The sequence below is a fragment of the Homo sapiens genome, chromosome 17, assembly GCF_000001405.40.
Source record: "Homo sapiens chromosome 17, GRCh38.p14 Primary Assembly".
In the NCBI taxonomy this organism is placed as follows: domain Eukaryota; kingdom Metazoa; phylum Chordata; class Mammalia; order Primates; family Hominidae; genus Homo; species Homo sapiens.
In genome coordinates this window covers 5,896,311-5,917,232 of record NC_000017.11, presented here as the reverse complement: position 1 = coordinate 5,917,232, position 20,922 = coordinate 5,896,311, and the positions used below count along the sequence as shown (strand labels likewise).

The 20,922-nt window shown below is 47.0% G+C and overlaps 1 long non-coding RNA gene across 1 annotated transcript in view, besides 3 other annotated features; it reads right to left on the bottom strand.

Annotated features, from left to right (window-relative positions):
* The window catches only part of LOC339166 (uncharacterized), a 158,463-nt gene that overhangs the window by 13,464 nt on the left and 124,077 nt on the right, over positions 1-20,922 (bottom strand). The window lies entirely within an intron of this gene.
* Positions 3,772-4,423: an enhancer, noted in NCBI's record as "NANOG hESC enhancer chr17:5816130-5816781 (GRCh37/hg19 assembly coordinates)". NCBI's record gives its function as "activates a minimal SCP1, AML or CMV promoter by ChIP-STARR-seq in naive H9 embryonic stem cells {active_cell/tissue: H9 hESC(naive)}" and the evidence as "EXISTENCE:reporter gene assay evidence [ECO:0000049][PMID:30033119]".
* Positions 18,278-19,176: an enhancer, noted in NCBI's record as "H3K27ac-H3K4me1 hESC enhancer chr17:5801377-5802275 (GRCh37/hg19 assembly coordinates)". NCBI's record gives its function as "activates a minimal SCP1, AML or CMV promoter by ChIP-STARR-seq in naive H9 embryonic stem cells {active_cell/tissue: H9 hESC(naive)}" and the evidence as "EXISTENCE:reporter gene assay evidence [ECO:0000049][PMID:30033119]".
* Positions 19,177-20,076: an enhancer, noted in NCBI's record as "OCT4-NANOG-H3K27ac-H3K4me1 hESC enhancer chr17:5800477-5801376 (GRCh37/hg19 assembly coordinates)". NCBI's record gives its function as "activates a minimal SCP1, AML or CMV promoter by ChIP-STARR-seq in primed H9 embryonic stem cells {active_cell/tissue: H9 hESC(primed)}" and the evidence as "EXISTENCE:reporter gene assay evidence [ECO:0000049][PMID:30033119]".

Here is a 20,922-nt window from a genome sequence, read left to right as displayed (position 1 = left end):
CTGATCTCAGGAGTTCACGACCAGACTGGGCAACAGGGTGAAACCCCATCTCTACTAAAATACAAAAAAATTAGCCGGACGTGGTGGCATGCGCCTGTAATCCCAGCTACTCAGGAGGCTGAGGCAGGAGAATTATTTGAATACAGGAGGCGGAGGTTACAGTGAGCCGAGATCGCACCACTGCACTCCAGCCTGGGCAACAGAATGAGACTCCATCTAAAAATAATAATAATACATAAATAAAATAGGGAGAAGGCCGTTAATTGATCAAGGAAGAAATGCTCCAAACATCACTGCCAGTTCCCATTGCCTTCTAAGTGAATCATTTGTAGCCAATGAGGAACCTAATGAGGAACAAGGAAACAGAGGAAGAGGGTCCCAAGTTTGACACGCCCAGTTAGTCAACACCCCAGCAGGCAGCCCCGTTCCAGGGACCACAAGGAACATCAGGTTGAGTTTGGCACAACCTGGAATGGAAGTGTGTGATTCCAAGTGGATCAGCCAGAAAGACTGGCCCTAGGTTATTCTGCTGTCAGTGAGGCTATGGGCATGAGAAACATCCCCTAAGCTGACACACACCTGCAGAAGGAGCCCCTGCTCAGAGTGGGGGGTCATGCTTCATCTAGAGTCCTTCAGCTTCATCAAAGAACAGCTAAAAGAGATAAGATCATGGAATTTACAATCTCTCCACTTTACAGATGGAGAAACTGAGTCCCAAGTAGGACATGCCTAGGACCATGTAGGAGTGAGTGCCACAAGTCTGGCTTGAAACTCAGACTCAATGGCTATAGCTGGCACCTTTCTTTGTGCTAGGAGTGGACAGGAAGTACTTGCTCAGAGTCCAAGTAGAAGTTCTCTATTACTGCCTTCAAACCATCCCAACACGCGATGGTGGAAAAGCGACCATGATGTATTATTTCTCAGGATTCTAAGGGCATGTGGGCTCCACTGGGCAGTTCTGCTCCACATGATTTCGCAGAGGTCACTCGAGTGGCTGCACTCAGCAGAGCTCCATTGAGGTTTGGGTATCCCAGATGATTTCTCAGCCTCCATCCCGGTGGCTTTTCTCCCCATGGCTCTCCTGCCAATAGTCCAACTCAAGCTTCTCCACACAGAGGCTGGCTTCAAGGAGTGTGAAAGTGGAAGGGGCCTTCTGAAGTTAAGTCTTGAGCCGACATAGCATCGCTTCCAACACATTCTGTTGGTTAAAGCAAGTCATGGCTGGGTGCTGTGGCTCACGCCTGTAATCCCAGCACTTTTTGGAGGCCGAGGCAGGCAGATCATGAGGTCAGGAGTTCGAGACCAGCCTGGCCAACATAGTGAAACCCCGTCTCTACTAAAAATACAAATAATTAGCCAGGCGTGGTGGGGGGGGCCCTGTAATTCCAGTTACTCGGGAGGCTGAGGCAGAAGAATCACTTGAACCTGGGAGGAAGAGGTTGCAGTGAGCCGAGACCGTGCCATTGCACTCCAGCCTGGGTGACAGAGTGAGACTCCATCTCAAAAAAAAAAGCAAATCACATGGCCAAACCCAAAGCCCATGTGGAAGGGACTACACCAAAGCATGATCCCCAGGAGGCAGGGCACCCTGGAGGGGTCAGTCCACCATCACCCCTCCTGGGAAATGCTCCACCATGAGCCCCACTGCAGCCAAAGCACCCGTGTGGCCACAATGAGCACTGACCACAAACTGAGCCTGGGTCTCAGCCCCAGAATGAGTCAGGTGCATGGGCTGCCATTGAGACCTATCCTGCCCAGTGACTCAGGAGCAGAACGAGAGTGAATAATTAGAATCCATGGGGAGATGGGTTGACATTTCATAGGATAAAGGACTTTGGGTCAGAGATGGCCAAAGAAGAAGCAGGCTGGCTCAGGAAGTAGTATAGAGGAGAGCTGTATAGAGGAGAGTTGAAATGACCACTTAGCAGGGTTCCGTGAGTAGGGATGCATTGAGGGGAAGAACATGGAGATGTACGGACCCTACACAGATCCTGTCAGGGCAGGGGAACTCATAACTCTAACATTCTTTCCATACCCCCTTAGCTACAGGCCAGAAAACAATGAACAGGGAGCCTAGAGGCCAGAGTTCAGGGCAGCTAGAACCAGGAATGAGCGCTAGAGCAGTTCTCATCTAGACTCTGCCCTTGAATGACCAGGACTCATTTGTTTTCCTTGCACAATCATCTCCTCTTAAAGCAATAATTAATGAACAATAATCAATTTCCCACCCTACAGTAATAATTTTGAAAAACAAATTGCTTGCTTAAAATGTGTTGATGGCTCCCCATCTCCCCCATTGCAAATCCCAATCCTCAGCTCTTTCTGGACTGATGGGGCCTCTGACCTGCTTTTTCCCCCCATCACTGCCCCTCACTCCCTGGGCTCTAGTCACAAGATGCAAAAATTAACACTCCCCCCAAAGCCTCCCCTGTGTTACAATCATCTACACGTTGCCAATTCCTAGGATGGTCTTTCTTACTGTCTAGGTAGGGTGGACTCTAACTCAACCTTCAAGTCCCCAGGAGTAGGCAGCAGAATGGCAGCGCCTGCTTACTACATACCAGGCATTGTTCTAGGAACTTTATGTGCAGTATTTTTTGTAGTCCATATAATAACCCCATGAGGTAGGAAGCATTTTTATCCCCATTGTCTGGGAAAGGAAATTGAGACTAAGAGAAATGAAGTAACTTGCCACACTTAAACACAGAGCACACACACATCCCCTTCCCTTTTACTTTCCTGTCTTTCACTTAAGCTATGTGTATGACGGTGATGAACAACTCTTTATATCTTCTCTATTCTCACACCATCTATGCCCCCCTCTTCACCCTCTCACTTAACTAAATCTATTTTTCCCTTCCATTGAGAAAATGTTGACTGCTTTTGTTCACTTGTTCAAAAATATTTAAGTACCTATTACATCTTCTTGTATGCAGGATTTCTCCTAATACATTTCTGACTTGCAGCATCAAGGATAGACCTTTTTCTAAGCAAGAGTTTGGGGGAAGTTTGTGGGATGAATAGAGAGACAGATGAATGCATGATGGGTGTGGTGGTGCATGCCTGTAGTCCCAGCTACTTGGGAGGCTGAGGTAGGAGAATCGCTTGAACCGGGGAGGTGGAGGTTGTGGTGAGTGGAGATAGTGCCATTGCACTCCAGCCTGGGCAACAAGAGTGAAACTCCATCTCAAAAAAAAAAAAAAAGAAAAGAAAAGAAAGAAAAGCTGAATAGATGACTGGCTGAGTGGGTGGATGGATGGATGGATGGATGGATCATTGGAGGATGGATGGATGGATCATTGGAGGATGGATGGATGGATCATTGGAGGTGGATGAATGGTTGGATGGAAGATGAATGGATGGATGGATGGAAGATGGATGGATGGACAGATGGATGAATGGATGGATCACTGGAGGTTGGATGAATGGTTGGGTGGAAGGTGAATGGACGGATCATTGGAGGATGGATAGATGGGTAGATGGAATATGGATGGATTGATGAATGAATGGATACATGGATGGGTGGATGGATGGAAGATGGATGAGTGGATGAACAGATAGATGGATCACTGGAGGATGGATGGGTGGATAAAAGACGGATGGATGAATGGATGTCTGCATCAAATTCTAGCTTGGTTACATTGATTGGGAAACCAAGTTTTAATGCCCAAGAGCCCCCAGCTGAGCCCTGCCCAACTCCTAGCATATTTGTCCTGTGTTCCAAGAATAGATGGGATTTTTCTCTATTCATCGCCAAGTTCCCACAGTGGCCATTTGTTTTAAGTGTCCAGGGAAGCTCTGTTGTGGTACAATTAGTCCTTGTTAGCAGGCACTGTAACTGGACTGTAATTTCCAGGCTGTTGGACGGTAATTGCACATGAGCAGCTCAGCGAGGCTCTGCACCTGTAATGACAAGCAGAGCCTCTTCCCCTCTCCACACTGCTCCAAATGCCAAGAAGCAGGTGAGCTCCTGATGCCATATTAGCACGCGGTGATTTTCATTACTAAATGACTCCAGGGCTGTCCAAATGAGGGGAGCAATTAGGCTGATCAGGGGAAGACAAAGCATCTCTTGATGAGCATAATGATGACACAGGCAGAATCGCTCTGGCCTGGGGCAGAGTGTGAAATCAGAGCCCAGGGCTCTACTGTGGTGCAAATCAGCCATGCTCAGTTCCTAGGCCCCTCTGCCTACCGCCTAGGCATCCATCACTGCCCCCAGGGCCTCAGCACCCACAGAGAAGAAACAACCAGTATTTCCACATAATTAGAAGAAATTGCATATCCAATACCCCTCACTGAGATTAGCAGTTATGGAGTGGACTCTTTCCAAGAAAAATGTTAGTCATTGAAGAGGAGTTAAATAACTGAGAATTATTTGCTTAAAAGTTCGTGCTTCTTAGCACAGTAATTAAAATCCTCCTTGATCTCATTTCTGCTGCATTCTCCAGCCATCAAATCTCACAGTCTTTGCCAACACAACAGGTACTACCATGCCTCTGTGTTTTCGCTCATGCTGTTCCATCTGCCTGGAGAGCTCTTCCCTCATCCACCGAAACCCTGATTAGGTTTCAACCACTGACACCGGCCTAATCACTTAAGGCCCCCAGGTCCCCTTCTGGGTTCCTTCTGTGCCTTGTGCACCCTTTAAGCCATCTCTACTTTTCACACTGCACTATCATTTTTGGTCCACATGCAAGCCTCCCCTATTAGACTGTGTCTGTATCTGTGTCTCTAGCACCCAGCAATTATCCAGGGCAAAGGGCCACAAACTATAGTCCAGGGGCAAAATCCAGCCTGTCCCCTGCTTTTGCAAATAAAGTTTCATTGGGATGCAGCCACACCCATTTGTTTACCTCTTATCTGGCTGTTTTTGTGCTACAAAGGCATAGTTGAATAGTTCCAACAGAGACCATGTGTCCTGGAAAACATAAAGTAATTGCTCTCTGGCCCTTTTGTCCTATAAAGGGCCAGATTTATGCTATTTTTTCAACCCAGGGTTTGATAGGATTAATGGAGAGACAGATGGATGCATGATGGGTGGATGAAAAGTTGAATAGATGACTGGCTGAGTGGGTGGATGGGTGGATGGATGGATGAATGGATGGAAGATGGATGGATGAATGGATGGATGAATGGATGGAAGATGGATGGATGGATGGATGAATGGATGGATGAATGGATGGAAAATCGATGGATGGATGGATGAATGGATGGATGGATGGATGGATGGATGCATGGATCATTGGAGGATGGATGAATGGTTGGATGGAAGGTGAATGGATGGATGGATGGTCCAGGATGAGAGATGGCTGAGAGGTCTCCCAGGGCAAACCTTCAATCTACAGCATGACATTATCTTGAGCAGAGATGAGAAATGACTCTTCCAAGGTCATATAGCTTGACTGAGGGAGAGCTGGGGCCAGATCACGGGTCTCTTGCCCCTTTGCCAAAGCACCACCTCCTAGGGCCTGAGATGGAGCAACCCTCCTTCCCCTGGACCTGCAAATGAGAAACTTGGAAAATCCAGAGACCAGCACAGAGGAAACCCCACGAAAACATGTCAAAGTTGCCAGGCCTTGGCAGTCACAGGCCCAGGGAAGCCCATTAACAAAGGCTCCGGGGAATAAAAGCCTGCCGTGATCAGCAGGAGAAGGCACCCTGGACTGGACCATGAGAATCTGGACTCTGGTTCACTAAGGACAAGTGAATTTAACTTCTCTAAACCTGTTTCCTCATCTGCAGAATGAGGATGAAGACAGCTGCCTTAAGGGCGATGGTGCGAGATTCCAGAGAGAAGGTCAGAGGTGAGGCATATAAGGAGCCCAGCAATGGTGCGTTCTCAGGGAAGCTTCTTCTGCAGTGTGGAATTGAAGGAACTCTGCATTAGCCTGCCCCTGCTCCACACTCTGTGCACTGTGACATTCTCACTTTCCTGAGTCCCCAGCTTCTGACCCACCATGTAAGGAGCTTGTCCCATGCAGGTCTGTGTGCCCAGCTCAAGGCCAGTCCCCTTCTTGGAACTCTGGGCCTCATTTCCCCTCACCTAACTCAGGCTCAGAGAAGTCTCTGAGCGGAGATCCCCTCTGTAGCACACCTTGCCAGGACTGGGCTGATGGAATCCAGTCAGACTAACTCCGCAAGTCTTTTCCCCTGGAAGATTTCCAGCTCTTCCCATGTAGAATGATCTCTACTCTCCTGAGAGTCTTACATACACCTGGGTTCAAATCCCTGGCCCTGCTTCTCACTAACTGGATAAAAATGAGTGAATTATTTAGCCCCTCTGAGCCCATGGGCAAACAGCTTGGAAGAGCACCTGCACCCCCTCTACCTCCTCCTCATCCTTATCCCTTTTCTTCCAGCCCTGCTTTTCTTCCTGCCACCCTGATACTGTTCTCCTTCCTGCCCAGCTGCTGAGCTGAATGCTAATGGACCCAGGCTCAGTCTCAGCCGTGGAGCCTTTTCAGGGAATGACGGGTCCAACTCCATGGGGTTCACTTGGGGGAGAGGACCAGGAGGGTGATTCTGCAGGAGCTGATGAGAAGGTCTGGAACTAGCCTTGACGATGAGATCTTTTTTTTTTTTTTTTTTTTTTTTTTTTTGAGACGGAGTCTCGCTCTGTCGCCCAGGCTGGAGTGCCGTGGCGCGATCTTGGCTCACTGCAAGCTCCACCTCCCGGGTTCACGCCATTCTCCTGCCTCAGCCTCCCGAGTAGCTGGGACTACAGGCGCCCACCACCACGCCTGGCTAATTTTTTGTATTTTTAGTACAGACGGGGTTTCATCATATTAGCCAGGATGGTCTCGATCTCCTGACCTCGTGATCCGCCCGCCTCAGCCTCCCAAAGTGCTGGGATTACAGGCGTGAGCCACGGCGCCCAACCGACGATGAGACCTTGAGATATCCTGGCCTTCCTCTGAGATTATCTTAGGTGGACAGAGCTGCTATGACCAAAGAGCTGGTCGCCATCCCAGCTTTGGGCCGCACTTTCCCGTACTGCCAAGAGTCTGAATTGGACCTTCTGGCTCTTAAGATGCTTTCTCATCTCAGCCTGTAGCCAAACCTTACACCCCCACGTGCTGGCTCTTGACACCCAGTCCAGTGCTCTTGTCTATACTCGCAGCTTCTTTCTGTCCTGGCGTATGATTGGAAGATTGACTTCATTTGCAGGTCATTTTTACCGTAAAGGGGAATCGATAAAGGAAGGTCTCCCTCAACCAATCTGCACCCAGGAAATGAACCCACTGGCAAATCCCGACATAGAAGCTAAAACTGAGTTTTTCATTCCAGCGGCAGCCGGTGAGGCCTAGCCCGGGCCACCAGCCCCAGGCTACAGTCATCTCTTGCCCCTCCCCTCTACTTTCTGGGAGTGGCTGGCTGGTGACTCCATGAGCAGAACTGCACGGAAGTCTTCAGTTCTACCTCCAGGGCCTACAACCAAGGCCCGCCTGCCCTAGGAATCCCTCAGATCCTACTCCCTGAAGAGGGTACCATCTGTGGGTGGCTTCCCCGGCTCTGCCAGCCCCTAGCCCCTCTGCCTCCGATGCTCTAACCCTTCCTTAAGCCCCTCTTCCAGGGAGTCCTGGACCTGCTCACCTTCAGCAGGATATACCCTTCCTCCCTCTGCCTTGGGCTCACAGCTTCTCCAGGTAAAATCTCTTTGTATTCCAGTTCTTCATGTTCAAGGGTATGCCTTTGCCTGTTCATGAGTGTGTGTGCGGCAACTGGGCCCATCTGTGTGCATCCGTGTGCTCACTGAATGTGGGCTCTGGGAGCGTGAGGGTCTATGAACATGTGTGTCCATGTGAACATGTGTGTACACATGCACCTGTGTTTTTCTGTGTGTGCATACATGTATGCCTGTGGGCCTCCATGTGCCCGTGTGGGCCAGTTGTGGATACACATATCTTTGTGTTTGTATGGATGACTCTTGTGACTTATAACATCCATGTGTTTCCTGTTTTATGTTTGTGTCTATATGCATACATGAGTGTCGCTGGTAAACTGTCAGGTATTCAGATAACCAGGTCACTACATCTGATCATTCAGATTGGGTGCCCCTATTGTAACAATCATCTGTAATCTCTAAAAGGTCAAAAACAACACCAATATGCCTTCCATCTAGAGAAATCCTGGTGCACTCCAGAACTCCTTTCCATAGCCTGTGCCACTTGGGCCACATAAAATGCATACGAGGCAATAATAATGTTCTCCCCATTTTTATGGATGTGGTTTCTGGGGCTCAGAGTGTGAAAGGGGCTTTCCCAGGGTCACATAGCAAGTCAGTCACTGAGCTGGAAACGGAAGCTGGGGCTCCTGATGCCCAGCCCAGTGCCTTTTAATATGCCTCCTGCTTTTGCTCCCTAGGTATGATTAGAAGGTTAAGGCTATACAAAAATTAGCTGAGTGTGGTGGCATGCACCTGTAATCCCAGCTACTAGGGAGGCTGAGGCAGGAGAATCGCTTGAACCTAGCAGGCAGAGGTTGCAGTGAGCTGAGATTGTGCCACTCCTGGGCAACACAGCAAGACTCTGTCTTTAAAAAAAAAAAAAAAAAAAAAAAAAAGGCCAGGCACGGTGTCTCATGCCTGTAATCCCAGCACTTTGAGAGGCCAAGACAAGCGGATCACGAGGTCAGGAGATCGAGACCATCCTAGCTAACATGGTGAAACCCCGTCTCTACTAAAAATACAAAAAAATTAGCCAGGCTTGGTGGTGGGCACCTGTAGTCCCAGCTACTTGGGAGGCTGAGGCAGGAGAATGGCATGAATCCGGGAGGCGGAGCTTGCAGTGAGCCGAGATCGCGCCACTGCACTCCAGCCTGGGCAACAGAGCAAGACTCTGTCTCAAAAAAAAAAAAAAAAAAAAAAAAAGGTTAAGGCTAGTTTGGATATGCACTCTATTCAAGTCATTCAGCCATTAAAAGAAATGCATTGTTTATCTTGTTGAGTCGTAAGTGTTCTTTATATATTTTGGAAAAAGCCCTTTGTCACATATATTAATGATGTATTTAAAAAGTGGAGGGTTTTCCTTGATATGCAGTCCAGTTTATTTATTCATTTTTTTCCTTTGGTGGTTTGCACTTATTGTGTCTTTTCTAAGAAATCTAATGTCGTGAAGATTTTCTGTTTTTCTTTACAAGTTTTATAGTTTCAGCTTTTATGTTTAGGTCTATAATCCATTTTGAATTAATTTTGTTTGTGGTTTGAGGTAGGGGGTTGAGATTTATTTTTTTCTGTACAAATATCTCGTTGTTCTAGAACCATTTGTTGAAGAGTTACCTTTCCCTACTGGATTATCCCAGAGCCCTTGTTAGAAATAAATTGACCATATATATGTGACCATATATATGAACTGAAGTCTCTATTCTATCCCATTGATCTTTTATGTCTGTCTTTACACCAATACTACACTGTCTTGATGATTGCAGCTGGTAGATTAAGACATTAGAGAGCATGTGTTCCTCTTTGTACAGTCATGAACTGCGTAATGACATTTCAGGCAACATCCACCAGACTGCATCTATGCTCTGCCGGTTGTATAAAAGTATAGTACATATAGTTATGTACAGTATATAATATTGATAATAAATGACTATTTATGTATTTACTATACTATACTTTTTTTTTCTGTTTTTTTTTTTTTTTTTAGACAGAGTCTCAATCTTGTCACCCAGGCTGGAGTGCAGTGGCATGATCTTGTCTCACTGCAACCTCTGCCTCCCAATTTCAAGCAATTCTCCTGCCTCAGCCTCCCAAGTAGCTGGGATTATAGGTGCCTGCCACAATACCTGGCTAATTTTTTTTTTTTTTTTTTTTTGTATTTTTAGTAGAGATGGAGTTTTGCCATGTTGGCCAGGCTGGTCTCAAACTCCTGACCTCAGGTGATCCACCTGCCTTGGCCTCCCAAAGTGCTGGGATTACAGGCATGAGCCACCACACTCAGCCTATACTATACTTTTTATAGTTATTTTGGAGTGTACTCCTTTGCTTATTAAAAAAATTTTAACTGTAAAACTGTCTCAGGCAGGCCCTACAAGAGGTATTCCAGAGAAGGTATTATTATCATGAAAGATGGCGGCTCCATGTGTGTTACTGGCCCTGAAGACCTTCCAGTGAGACAAGACATGGATGTGGGGGGCAGTGATATTGAAGACCCTGACCCTGTGTAGGCCTAGGGTAATGTGTGTGTTCGTGCCTTAGTTCTTAACAAAAAAGTTTAAAAAGCAAAAATGCAGACATACATACATACATACATAAATGTTTGAACAGAAAAACACTTTTAAAATAAGAATATAAGGAAAAAATGTTCTTACACAGCTGTACAAGGTATTCGTGTTTTAGTCTGTTATTGCAAAAGAATCAAACAGTTTAAAAATGTTTTAAGTTTACAAAGAAAAATGTTACAGTAAGCTAAGGTTAATTTATTACTAAGAAAAGGAAAATATTTGTCATAAGTAGTGTAGCCTAAGTGTACAGTGCTTAGAAAGTCTACAGTAGTCAGCCAGGTGCAGTGACTCATGCCTGTAACCCCAGCACTTTGGGAGGCTGGGGCGGGAGGATCACAAGGTCAGGAGTTCAAGACCATCCTGGCCAACATGGTGAAACCCCGTCTCTACCGAAAATACAAAAATTAGCCAGGTGTGGTGGTGCGTGCCTGTAGTCCCAGCTACTTGGGAGTCTGAGGCAGAAGAATCACTTGAACCGGGGAGGTGGAGGTTGCAGTAACCCAAGATCGAGCCACTGCACTCCAGCCTGGCAACAGAGCGAGATTCCGTCTCAAAAATAAAAAGAATCAAAAGAAAAAAAAAGAAAGTCTACAGTAGTGTAGAGTAATGTCCCGGGCCTTCACTCAATGACTCACCCAGAGCAACTTCCAGTCCTGCAAGCTCCACTCATGATGAGTGCCCCGCACAGGTGCACCATTTCTCATCTTTGATTCCATATTTTCACTATACCATTTCTATGTCTAGATGCACAGATACTTACCATTGTGTTACAATTGCCCACAGTGTTCAGTTATAGTAACATGCTGTACAGGTCTGTAGTCTGGGAGCAATGGGCTGTCCCCTATGGCCCAAATGTGTAGTAAGCGATACCATCCAGGTTTGTGTAAGTTCACTCAACCATGCTCACACAACAACGAAATCACCTCACGACACATTCTGCAGAATGCCTCCCCATTGTTAAGCAATTCATACTGTACTTATTTTTTCAAAACTGTCTTACCTCTTCTGGATCCTTTACATTTCCACATAGATTTTTAAACTGGCTTTTTCATCTCCTACTGGGATGATGCTTAAGATTGCACTGAATCTATAGATAAATATGGAGAATGAACACCTTAATAAAATGGGGCTTCCTATCCACAAACATGTATTTCTCCATTTATTTAAAGCTTTGAAATCAGCATTGTACAGGTCTTGTATATCTTTTAATAAGTTTCTTCCTAAGTATTTTATCTTTATTGACTCTATTGAAATAGTATTTTAAAATTTCCGTTTTTCCAATCCTTGATGCCAGTATGGAGGAATACAATGGATTTTTTTTTTTTTTTTTTTTTTTTGAGATGGAGTCTCACTCTGTGGCCCAGACTGGAGTGCAGTGGCACAATCGTGGCTCACTGCAACCTCCGCCTCCCAGGTCCAAGTGATTCTCCTGCCTCAGCCTCCTGAGTAGCTGGGATTACAGACACGCACCACCACACCCAGACAATTTTTGTATTTTTAGTAGAGATGGGATTTCACCATGTTGGTCAGGCTGGTCTTGAACTCCTGACCTTGTGATCCACCCACATCCATCTCCCAAAGTGCTGGGATTACAGGAGGGAGCCAACGCACCCAGCCTACAATGGATTTTTAAAATTTGATTTGCTATCCTGCAACCTTGGTGTTTCTTCTGTTCACACTTAATGTAGTTATCGATGTGGCTGGATTTAAGTTGCCCATTTGTTTTTCATTTTTTCCTGTTGTTCTTTGCTCTTCATTTACCCCTTCACCAGCTTCCTTTAGGTTAATCAAGTATTTCTTAATATTTCATTTTCTCATCTCTATTGGCTTGTTAGCTCCAGCTCCTTTTATTAGTTATTTACCATACACTTGGGCTCATCATACACATCCTCAGTCAACTCTGTTTCACTTCCCACTTCCCACAGGATCCTTCATACGTCCCCTTTACTATTTCCCAGTTTACAAATAAAATAATCTTACAATGGTATAATTATATCATTATATGAACACCCTCCATTCTTTCTGCTATTGTTGCCTATCTTTTGCTTTCCACAGATGTTTTAAATCATGGTTTGTATTATTATTATTATTCATTTAAACTGTCAATTGTCTTTTTTAAAAAATACAATAGAAAAGCAGTTTTGCTCTTTCCTTCCTGGGGACGCAGGTTTCCATCAGGTTGCATTCCTCTTCAACCTGGAGAACATCCTTTGGCAGTTCTTGCTGTGCAGGTCTGCTGCCAACACATTCTCTTAGCTTCTATTTGTCTGAAAATGACTCTATTTCACCTTCATTTTTGAAGTATGTTTTTACTGAATACAAACAGTAAAACTCTCAAGGCTAACAGGATTTTTTTTTCCTCTTTAATCACTTCAAATATGTTATTCCTTTGTTTTTCAGCCTCCACTGTTTCTGAGAAATCAGTGGTAGTCCTTATCATTGTTATCCTATATAAAATGTGTCTTTTTTTTCCTCTGGCTCCCTTCAAGATTTTGTCTTTATTTTCAGCAGGTTGAGTATGATATGGGTGGGTATGAATTTATCTTTCTTGAAATTCTCTGAACTTTTTGTAACTGTAAGTCTATATTTATTTTATCCAATTTTCATCTATTTATTTCTTTAAATATTATTTCTGACCCATTTTCACTCATTATTCTGACCTATATTATATATATAATATTCTGACATATATAATCTATTATTTCAGACCCATATTCTCCTTCTGCAACTTCTATTGCATGTATGTCAGACTATTTGACCTTATCTCATAAATTTCTGAAGCTTTGTTCATTTTCTTCAATCTTTTCTCTGTCTGCTCTCCTGTGATTGGATCATTTCTAGTGACCCATCTTCAAATTTACTTATTCATTCTCTGTCCCCTCTAATCTACTACGAAGCCCATCCAGTGCATTTTTTTAAATTTTAAATTATTATAGTGTTCAATTCTAGAGTTTCCATTTTGTTCCATTCTCTGCTGAGATTCCCTATTGAGTCATTAAGACTATTTTCCTTTAAGCCTTTGAACATATTTATAAAGCTGCTTTAAAGCCTTTGCCTGGCTAAATCTAAGACCTGGGTCATCTCAGGGTAAGTTTCTATTGGTGGGTTTTTTCCTTGACTAGAAGTCACATTTTCCCATTGATGTGTGAGTGAATTCCTGGCTCACAGGCTGTTTCCAGTCTTGGTACACTGTGGATCTCAGAGTTTCAACTCCCACACATCAGTATCTCTGTTTCATTTCTGGCCTATAGAAATTATTCTGTTTTTTTAATATGGCCAGTCCTATCAGAAACAAGACAAAATGATATTTGTACTTGCATGACATCTATGTTTGTATTATTTGCATGTGATTGAAGCTGAGCAGGGAGACTTCAGCACGTGCCCACTCCACTGAGACAAGAAGTCAGAAGCATTTTTTAATACTTGGAGCTATTAACAGAAAATAGCATGAGCTTTTTAGAGTTAGGGAGTTACTCTCACTGCAAGCACTTAAGGAAAGCCTCTAGGTCCATTGTGGGGAGTGCTGTGGAGAGAATTCCTCCATGATGGGGGGCTGGAGCAGAAGAACCCTGTTTTGACTTGTCCAAACATATCACCTTTCAAATATGAAAGTGCCCAGCACAGAGCTGGCACATGATAGATGCTTTTGAAGTGCGTACTGTGATTATTATAGCCAAGTTCAGCTCATCGCGGCCCAGTATGGTGTGGTCTCTCCTCTGGGTGATATTTACCTTTAAGCAGCAAAGAGTTTCAATCCCAGTACCCAGGCCTGAAAATTGCTCCCACCATTTCAGAATAGGAAAGAAAATGTTTCTCAGCTGAAAACCACATTTGCTGGTTATGAAAATGATTCAGAGCATTTTTTTCACATTTCTGCATTGATTCCCAGCCTTCTTGTTTTATTGTACAATAACAGGCCCCGGGATGGAGAATATATTACTGCACAAACGTAAAAGAATCTCTTCCCAGGGAATTGTCTGCATACCAAGCGCTGCGCTTGACGCAGATTTTTTAGTTTAAAACAAAGGCAGCAGGCTGCCAAGAGAGCATCCAGGCTCTCTTTCTCTGTGGCTGGTGCACCAGAGCTCAGAAAGCCCAAATGGACCTCACGTGAGGTCTGGCTTCACGCCTAACCACAGTAGGGCTGGCTGTGAGTGGTGTCTGCCCAAGCCCAGCCCTGGGGAGGAACAGGTGTGCCTCCGATCTGATTGGAGCCAACGGGCTGTTATCCTCATCACCCCCTAGTGGGACTCATCTGTCCACCCCACACTCCTCCACCTAATACTGCAGCCCCTAGGGAGGGGTCCTAATTGTCCTAGTGGTGAAACTCACATTCCCCCTCCCAGCACAACTAAATGACTGAGTAATGGCTCCATCAGCAGCCATCTGATTCGCCTGATCCCAAGGGGAGGAATACACAGACCGGCCGTGCGTGCAGGGCCGTGTGCAGGGATCTCCATCCATCTCTGTCACCCAGGGTGCCCACGTTCATTCGTCAGTCCCTGACAGGGGCTGCTAGTCAGTGGCAAAGCCAGCAACAACGAATGGCCTCTTGGTTCTGTACAAGACCCAGTGTGCAAGACCCAGCTCCCTGCCTGCCTCCTGCCCACAGGGAAGTATAGTAGGTTCAGCCAAGCAAGGTGTGGGTCTTTGGGTGAAAGATGAGGCATGGGTTTCAAAAGGGGGAGGGGCCTGGAAACTTGAGAGACAGAGGAGGCCACGCTCAGGGAGGAGACGGCAAGGAGAATTCCCTGAGGGCAAGACCCTCCTGCAGCCTGACTTGTGCTGCAAAAGTGTCTAATTGCCTTCTCACACCCAACCCCTGGTCATGGGTCAGGCAGCCCACAACCCCTCCCCTAGCCACTGAGGCAAGACGATGCTCAGAAGGAGAAGGAAGCACAGGCAGTCAGTCCTCCCCTGTTTGTTCTGCAGAGGCGGACACATTGGACTCAGCACATGAACCCAAACTGCCCCCTGCCTTCAGCCAACATCCCCAGGAGCCCACTGTCATGGCCAGCCTCGGGAGGGTGCTGGGCGCCACTGCCCCGAGAGACAACGATTTGGCTGCTTTGATGAAGGGTTGCTCCCTGCCCTCCAGAGACCAAGAAAGCCTGCTCCCTGGCCCCTTTCCAAACTTGCCTGGAGGGATCTGCCTGAGGTCTTTCTGCAGGAGCAGAAAACCTGCTCTGCCATGTCTTTTCTCAATACGGAATCCCCTTTGAGGAAAGGGCTTTAAGGCTGGCCCAGGCTGAGCAGAGACAAGATCAGGCCTGATCACTCCTGACTCTGAGCACTCAGGTAAAAGATGAAATGGCGCCTTGATCACCCAGGTTTGCTTCTCTGTCCTTTGGGGAATCCTGGTGGGATTGAGCATCATCCAGAAGCAAAAGGGGTAAAATGACTCCACAGCCAGAAGGATACATAGGCCCCTGGGTACAAATAGCAACTGAGCCTCAGTTTTCCTTGCACATGAAATGGGGATGCTAATCCTTTCCCCCATGCAATTGTTCTCAAGATCTAGAGAGCTCACATATGAAAGTGCCCAGCACAGTGCTGGCCACAAAGAGGGCAGGCAGAACCACATGGGACTGGAAAGGACCCCAGAGCAGGTTAATTTCAAGCCAGAGCCCAGCTTTCCTCCAGGAGGCTGGAGCCTGTTGGATAAGGCTCTATCTAGTAGGAAGGATCACTTGCTCTCAAGTCATGACAGGTTTGGTTTGCTCAGAAGTGAATCAGGAGACAGGCTGGGCGTGGTGGCTCACGCCTGTAATCCCGGCACTTTGGGAGGCCGAGGCGGGTGGATCACGAGGTCAGGAGATAGATACCATCCTGGATAACATGGCAAAACCCCGTCTCTACTAAAAATACAAAAACAAAACTAGCTGGGTATAGTGGCAGGCGCCTGTAGTCCCAGCTACTTGGGAGGCTGAGGCGGGAGAATGGCATGAACCCAGGAGGCAGAGCTTGCAGTGAGCCAAGATGGTGCCACTGCACTCCAGCCTCGGTGACAGAGGGAGACTCCTTCTCAGAAAAAAAAAAAAAAAAAAGTTAATCAGGAGACAGAACAAAGGAGGCAGGAGACTGGCTGAATCCAGGAGCAGGCCTCTTAGCTACACATAGGACAAGAATGTCCCCTGGAAGTAGATTCATCCTGATCCTGACCCCATGAAGCCCTAGCCTGTCCCCAGGCCAAGATGCAACCTGAGCCACCCATTGACTGAGCTTTGCCCCTATTCCCGCTTCTGACCTTCGGCTGACATCTTACCCTGGGCACAACTGAACCCTAATCCCAGTCATGTATCTGCCCTTTTGACTCCCCGAATCTACTTCCGACCCCAAAGGGCCTGGATGAGAATGTGGACAATTCTGTGAAGCCCATTTCTTGTTGTGGAGGAGACAGGTGTAAACATTGTAAAAACCCAGAAGTCCTTGTCCCCCAGCATTTCACAATCCCACATGCCAGAGGGCGGAAGTGTCAGTGACAACCCCACTCTGTTCCCTTATTATCTTCCATCTCATAGCTTCCATAGATATTTGTTTATATTCACAATTAAAGTAAGAAAAACAGCCCATCTGAAAGAGGATGGCAGATCCCAGCTGTGGCCTTGAGATTAGAATCCACAGGCTTCAGTGCACAGCTCTGTCCCATCCTTCTAGACGAAGAACCCCCACCCACCCACCAATGTCACTAGAGATCCCCTGGACACAGAGGACACTTCAGGCCACCTTCATGGACACTCCATTGTGGATGTGCTTCTCTTCTGACTTGGTCACCATTTGCAATCTCCCTCTATCCCCTCCAGCCTCCACCCAACCCTTACCAGCAAGCCACTCTGAAAAAGGAGGTAACTCCATGCCTTTCTCCCTGCCAGGGAGAGTCAGACACTAGATGCCTATTGATTTCTCCAGTTCCACCGGCCATGTTCAGTATCCCAGCCATCTCTGGCAGGGCCAGGCTGGTGACCTAGGCCTTCACGGACTGGACTCTCCAATCAGCATCTGCGTCTGAGCCGGCCAAGCTGGCGCAAGCCCTCCTGGAGTGTGGGGATGGGAGGAAGTACCTCTGTCCTTAGTCCAACTGCAGTTGGGTCAAGAGACAAATGAGTTGGATGTCAAGCATGCCTCTCCCAAAGACACAAGAGGTGACCAAGGGACCCAGTGTGGGGACTCAAGGAGGGGCTAGAACCACAGTTGGGTCCCAAAGTCAGGACCAGGAGCTGACAGAAATAGGATAAGAGTGAGAGCGGGCTGGTGATAAGAAGAGTGAGACACTTGCCATGACCATCAGGGGTGCAGGAGCCCCGGCATAGGCCTGGCACCTGCCGACGATTCCTGGGCCACAGCGTGTGTGCTTGGGAGGGACTGTTTCAGGCCCAGCTCACAGGTTGTCAGGACTATCAGGCTCTCCCCCTCCCCGAGGGCCACAGCTTCAGGCTCCCTCAAGATCCCCGGGAAGCACCTGACTTTACAGCTCTCCCTTTTATTTACAGAGAAAACCTGAATCCAAATAAGGTTTCACACTAGACTTCTCCCAAATTCCACATTCCTGCATCCAACTGCCTACCTAACATCTCTACTCAGAGGCCTGAGAATCATCTCACACCCAGCAGATCCAAAACTGCGCTGACATCCCACTCCCCAAACGCATTCCTCTCACACCCTTCTTCATCTCCAGCCTTCCAGATGCCCCAGCCAAAAACCTAGAGTCATCTTCTCTCTCCTTCTTTCTCTTAGACCCCAGACTCCCTCAGCAAATCTCATCAACTCTATCTTCAAAGTACATCCAGAATGCTGGATGCAGTGGCTCACACCTGTAATCCCAGCACTTTGGGAGGCCAAGGTGGGCAGATCACCTGAGGTCAGGAGTTCAAGACCAGCCTGGCCAACATGGTGAAACCCCGTCTCTACTAAAAATACAAAAATTAGCCAGGTGTGGTGGCGGGCACCTGTAATCCCAGCTACTCGGGAAGCTGAGACCAGAGAATTACTTGAACCCGAGAGGTGGAGGTTGCAGTGAGCTGAGATCGCACCACTGCACTCCAGCCTGGGTGACAGAGCGAGACTCCATCTCAAAATAAATAAACAAATAAATAAATAAAAGTACGTCCGTGACCCAGGCATGTCTCACTGTTACATTTCAATTTCTGCAGTCCCAGCCATCACCTCTTGCCTCCTACTGGCCTCCATGCATGCGCCTTTCCTGCACCATAGTCCAGCCTCCACACAGCATTTGGAACACAAATGGGGCAGTGTGCTCCTTTGCTCTGTCCCTCCTAGGACCCCCATTTCACTCAGCGAGAAAGCCAAGGCCTTTACAATGGACTTCGAGACTCTATGGGACCTGGCGCTCAGCCACCTCTCTGACCCTTGCTACTGCCACTGCCCCCTCCCTTACCCTGCGCCGGCCACGCCAGCCTCTCCTACGCAGGGACTGGATGTGAAGTTTTCCTTCAATCTGGTTCACTCCTCTCCCAGGTATCCACACAGCTAACCCCTCTTGCCTTCCTCAAGACTTTGTTCAAATGTCCCTTTTTTTTTTTTGAGACAGAGTCTCGTTCTGTTGCCCAGGCTGGAGTGCAGTGGTGAGATCTCAGCTCACTACAACCTCCACCTCCCAGGTTCAAGCGATTCTCCTGCCTCAGCCTCCTGAGTAGCTGGGATTACAGGCACCCACCACCACGCCTGGCTAATTTTTATATTTTTAGCAGAGATGGGGTTTCACCATGCTGGCCAGGCTGGTCTTGAACTCTGGGAGCAGTGACTGACGCCTGTAATCCCACCACTTTGGGAGGCTGAGGCGGGCGGGTCAAATGTCACCTTCTCAAGGACGTCTCCCTTGGCCAACTTCACTAGCAAGTCAAGACACTCCCGCCCCCAACCTCTCACCACTCCTGATACCCCTTTGCACTGTCCAACTCTTTTTTTCCCAAGGCTCCTAGCATTCTAGTATATTACATGATTTATTTATGTATTATGTTTAGCCGTTGTTGTCCACCTCCTCCAATAGAATGTAAGCTCATGAGGCAGGAAGACTTTTCACCAACCTATCCAAGTGCCTGGCACATAGCAGATGTTTAATAAACGTTTATTGAATAAATGAACCAGCATGTGCTCTAGAGTCAAACAAACTCACATTCACATCCTGTCTCTGCAATGTGTGACTCTGTGACTGTGGCCCAGGCACTTCCTGCCTCTGATCTGCAGTTCAGCTTTCCCACCTGTGGAATGGGGATTGTGTTATCTACTGCCACCGGTCTGCTGTGAGGACCCACTGAGACAACGCACGTGATAAGCAGAAGCTGCTGTTGCCGTGATGGTAGCTGATGAATGCCCACCACACTCGGCACGACGCACGACTGCAATTGCACCCACGGCACTCAGGCAGCATTCAGAGGGGCTCAGCTGGCGCCCGGATATAAAGCATTCAAGGCTCTGCAGGGGCATCTGCGGAGTCTGTGAAATGCTGCCAGGAAGGAACAGGAATGGTTAGACATCGCAGGCTGCAATTCCAGTGCACGAGGCTAGATTCTGAGGCTAGTGTTCAGAAGCACCATTTCCACATGAATGGACTCTCACAGAGAGGAAATGATTTTAATCAGCTCAAGAAACACAAAGCCCATCTATCTTCCATTGTTTAAGGAAAGAATTCATCTTGGGAGTGGGGCAGTGGAGGTGGTGAAGAGAGTAAAGCCAGGACAGATTTAAATGATAAAGAGCAACTGAACAAGAGAGCACAGGGGCCCCGGACACCACTTGTCATCATAATTCCACGTGTGCCCTTCTCAGCAGTGGGAACGTGGGGTAATGGTAAAACTCGTAACGACGCCAGCCTTTACAGATTACAAAACACTTCCATATCCATTGTCTCATTTAATTTTCCTAAAACCCACTCGGGTTTGGCATTATTCACTCTATGTATTAGGTGGGAAGACTGGGAATCACCGACGCTGCATAAATGGCCTTCAACATGGTACAGAATCTTCCATTCGCTTGTTTACTATAAGCTTGTTTACTATACTATATATTTCTGTATTTCTTTTTTTTTTCTTCTTTTTTTTTTTTTTTGAGACGGAATCTCACTCTGTCACCCAGGCTGGAGTGCAGTAGCTCCATCTCAGCTCACTGCCACCTCCCGAGTTCAAGAGATTCTCCCACCTCAGCCTCCCTAGTAGCTGGGACTACAGGCGCACACCACCACCACGCCCAGCTAATTTTTTTATTTTTTAGTAAAGATGAGGTTTCACCATGTTGGCCAGGCTGGTCTTGAACTCCTGATCTCAGGTGATCTGCCTACCTCGGCCTCCCAAAATGCTGGAATTATAGGCGTGAGCCACTGTGCCCAGCCTCTGTATTTCTTTTTAAATTTTCTATTGATGAATAGCATCCATACAGAAAAGCACCCAAATATAAAATGGATTTTCACTAGGGGAACATACCCACATCGGAAAATAAAAGAACATTGTCAGCAACCCAGAAGCCCCCCTCCTCCCCAGCCATGCTTCCTCCCAGGCACAGACCTCCTTCTCCCCAAAGGTCACCTGACCTCTGTCCCCATCGATTAGCTCTGTCTGTGCTTTAACATTCTGTAAACACAATCATTCCAGATGTATTCTTTTGCTCAACATCACACTTGCCATGTGTGTTGTCATATGTGGTTGTGTATGTTGTCCGTAGCTGGAGTTCATTCATTCATAG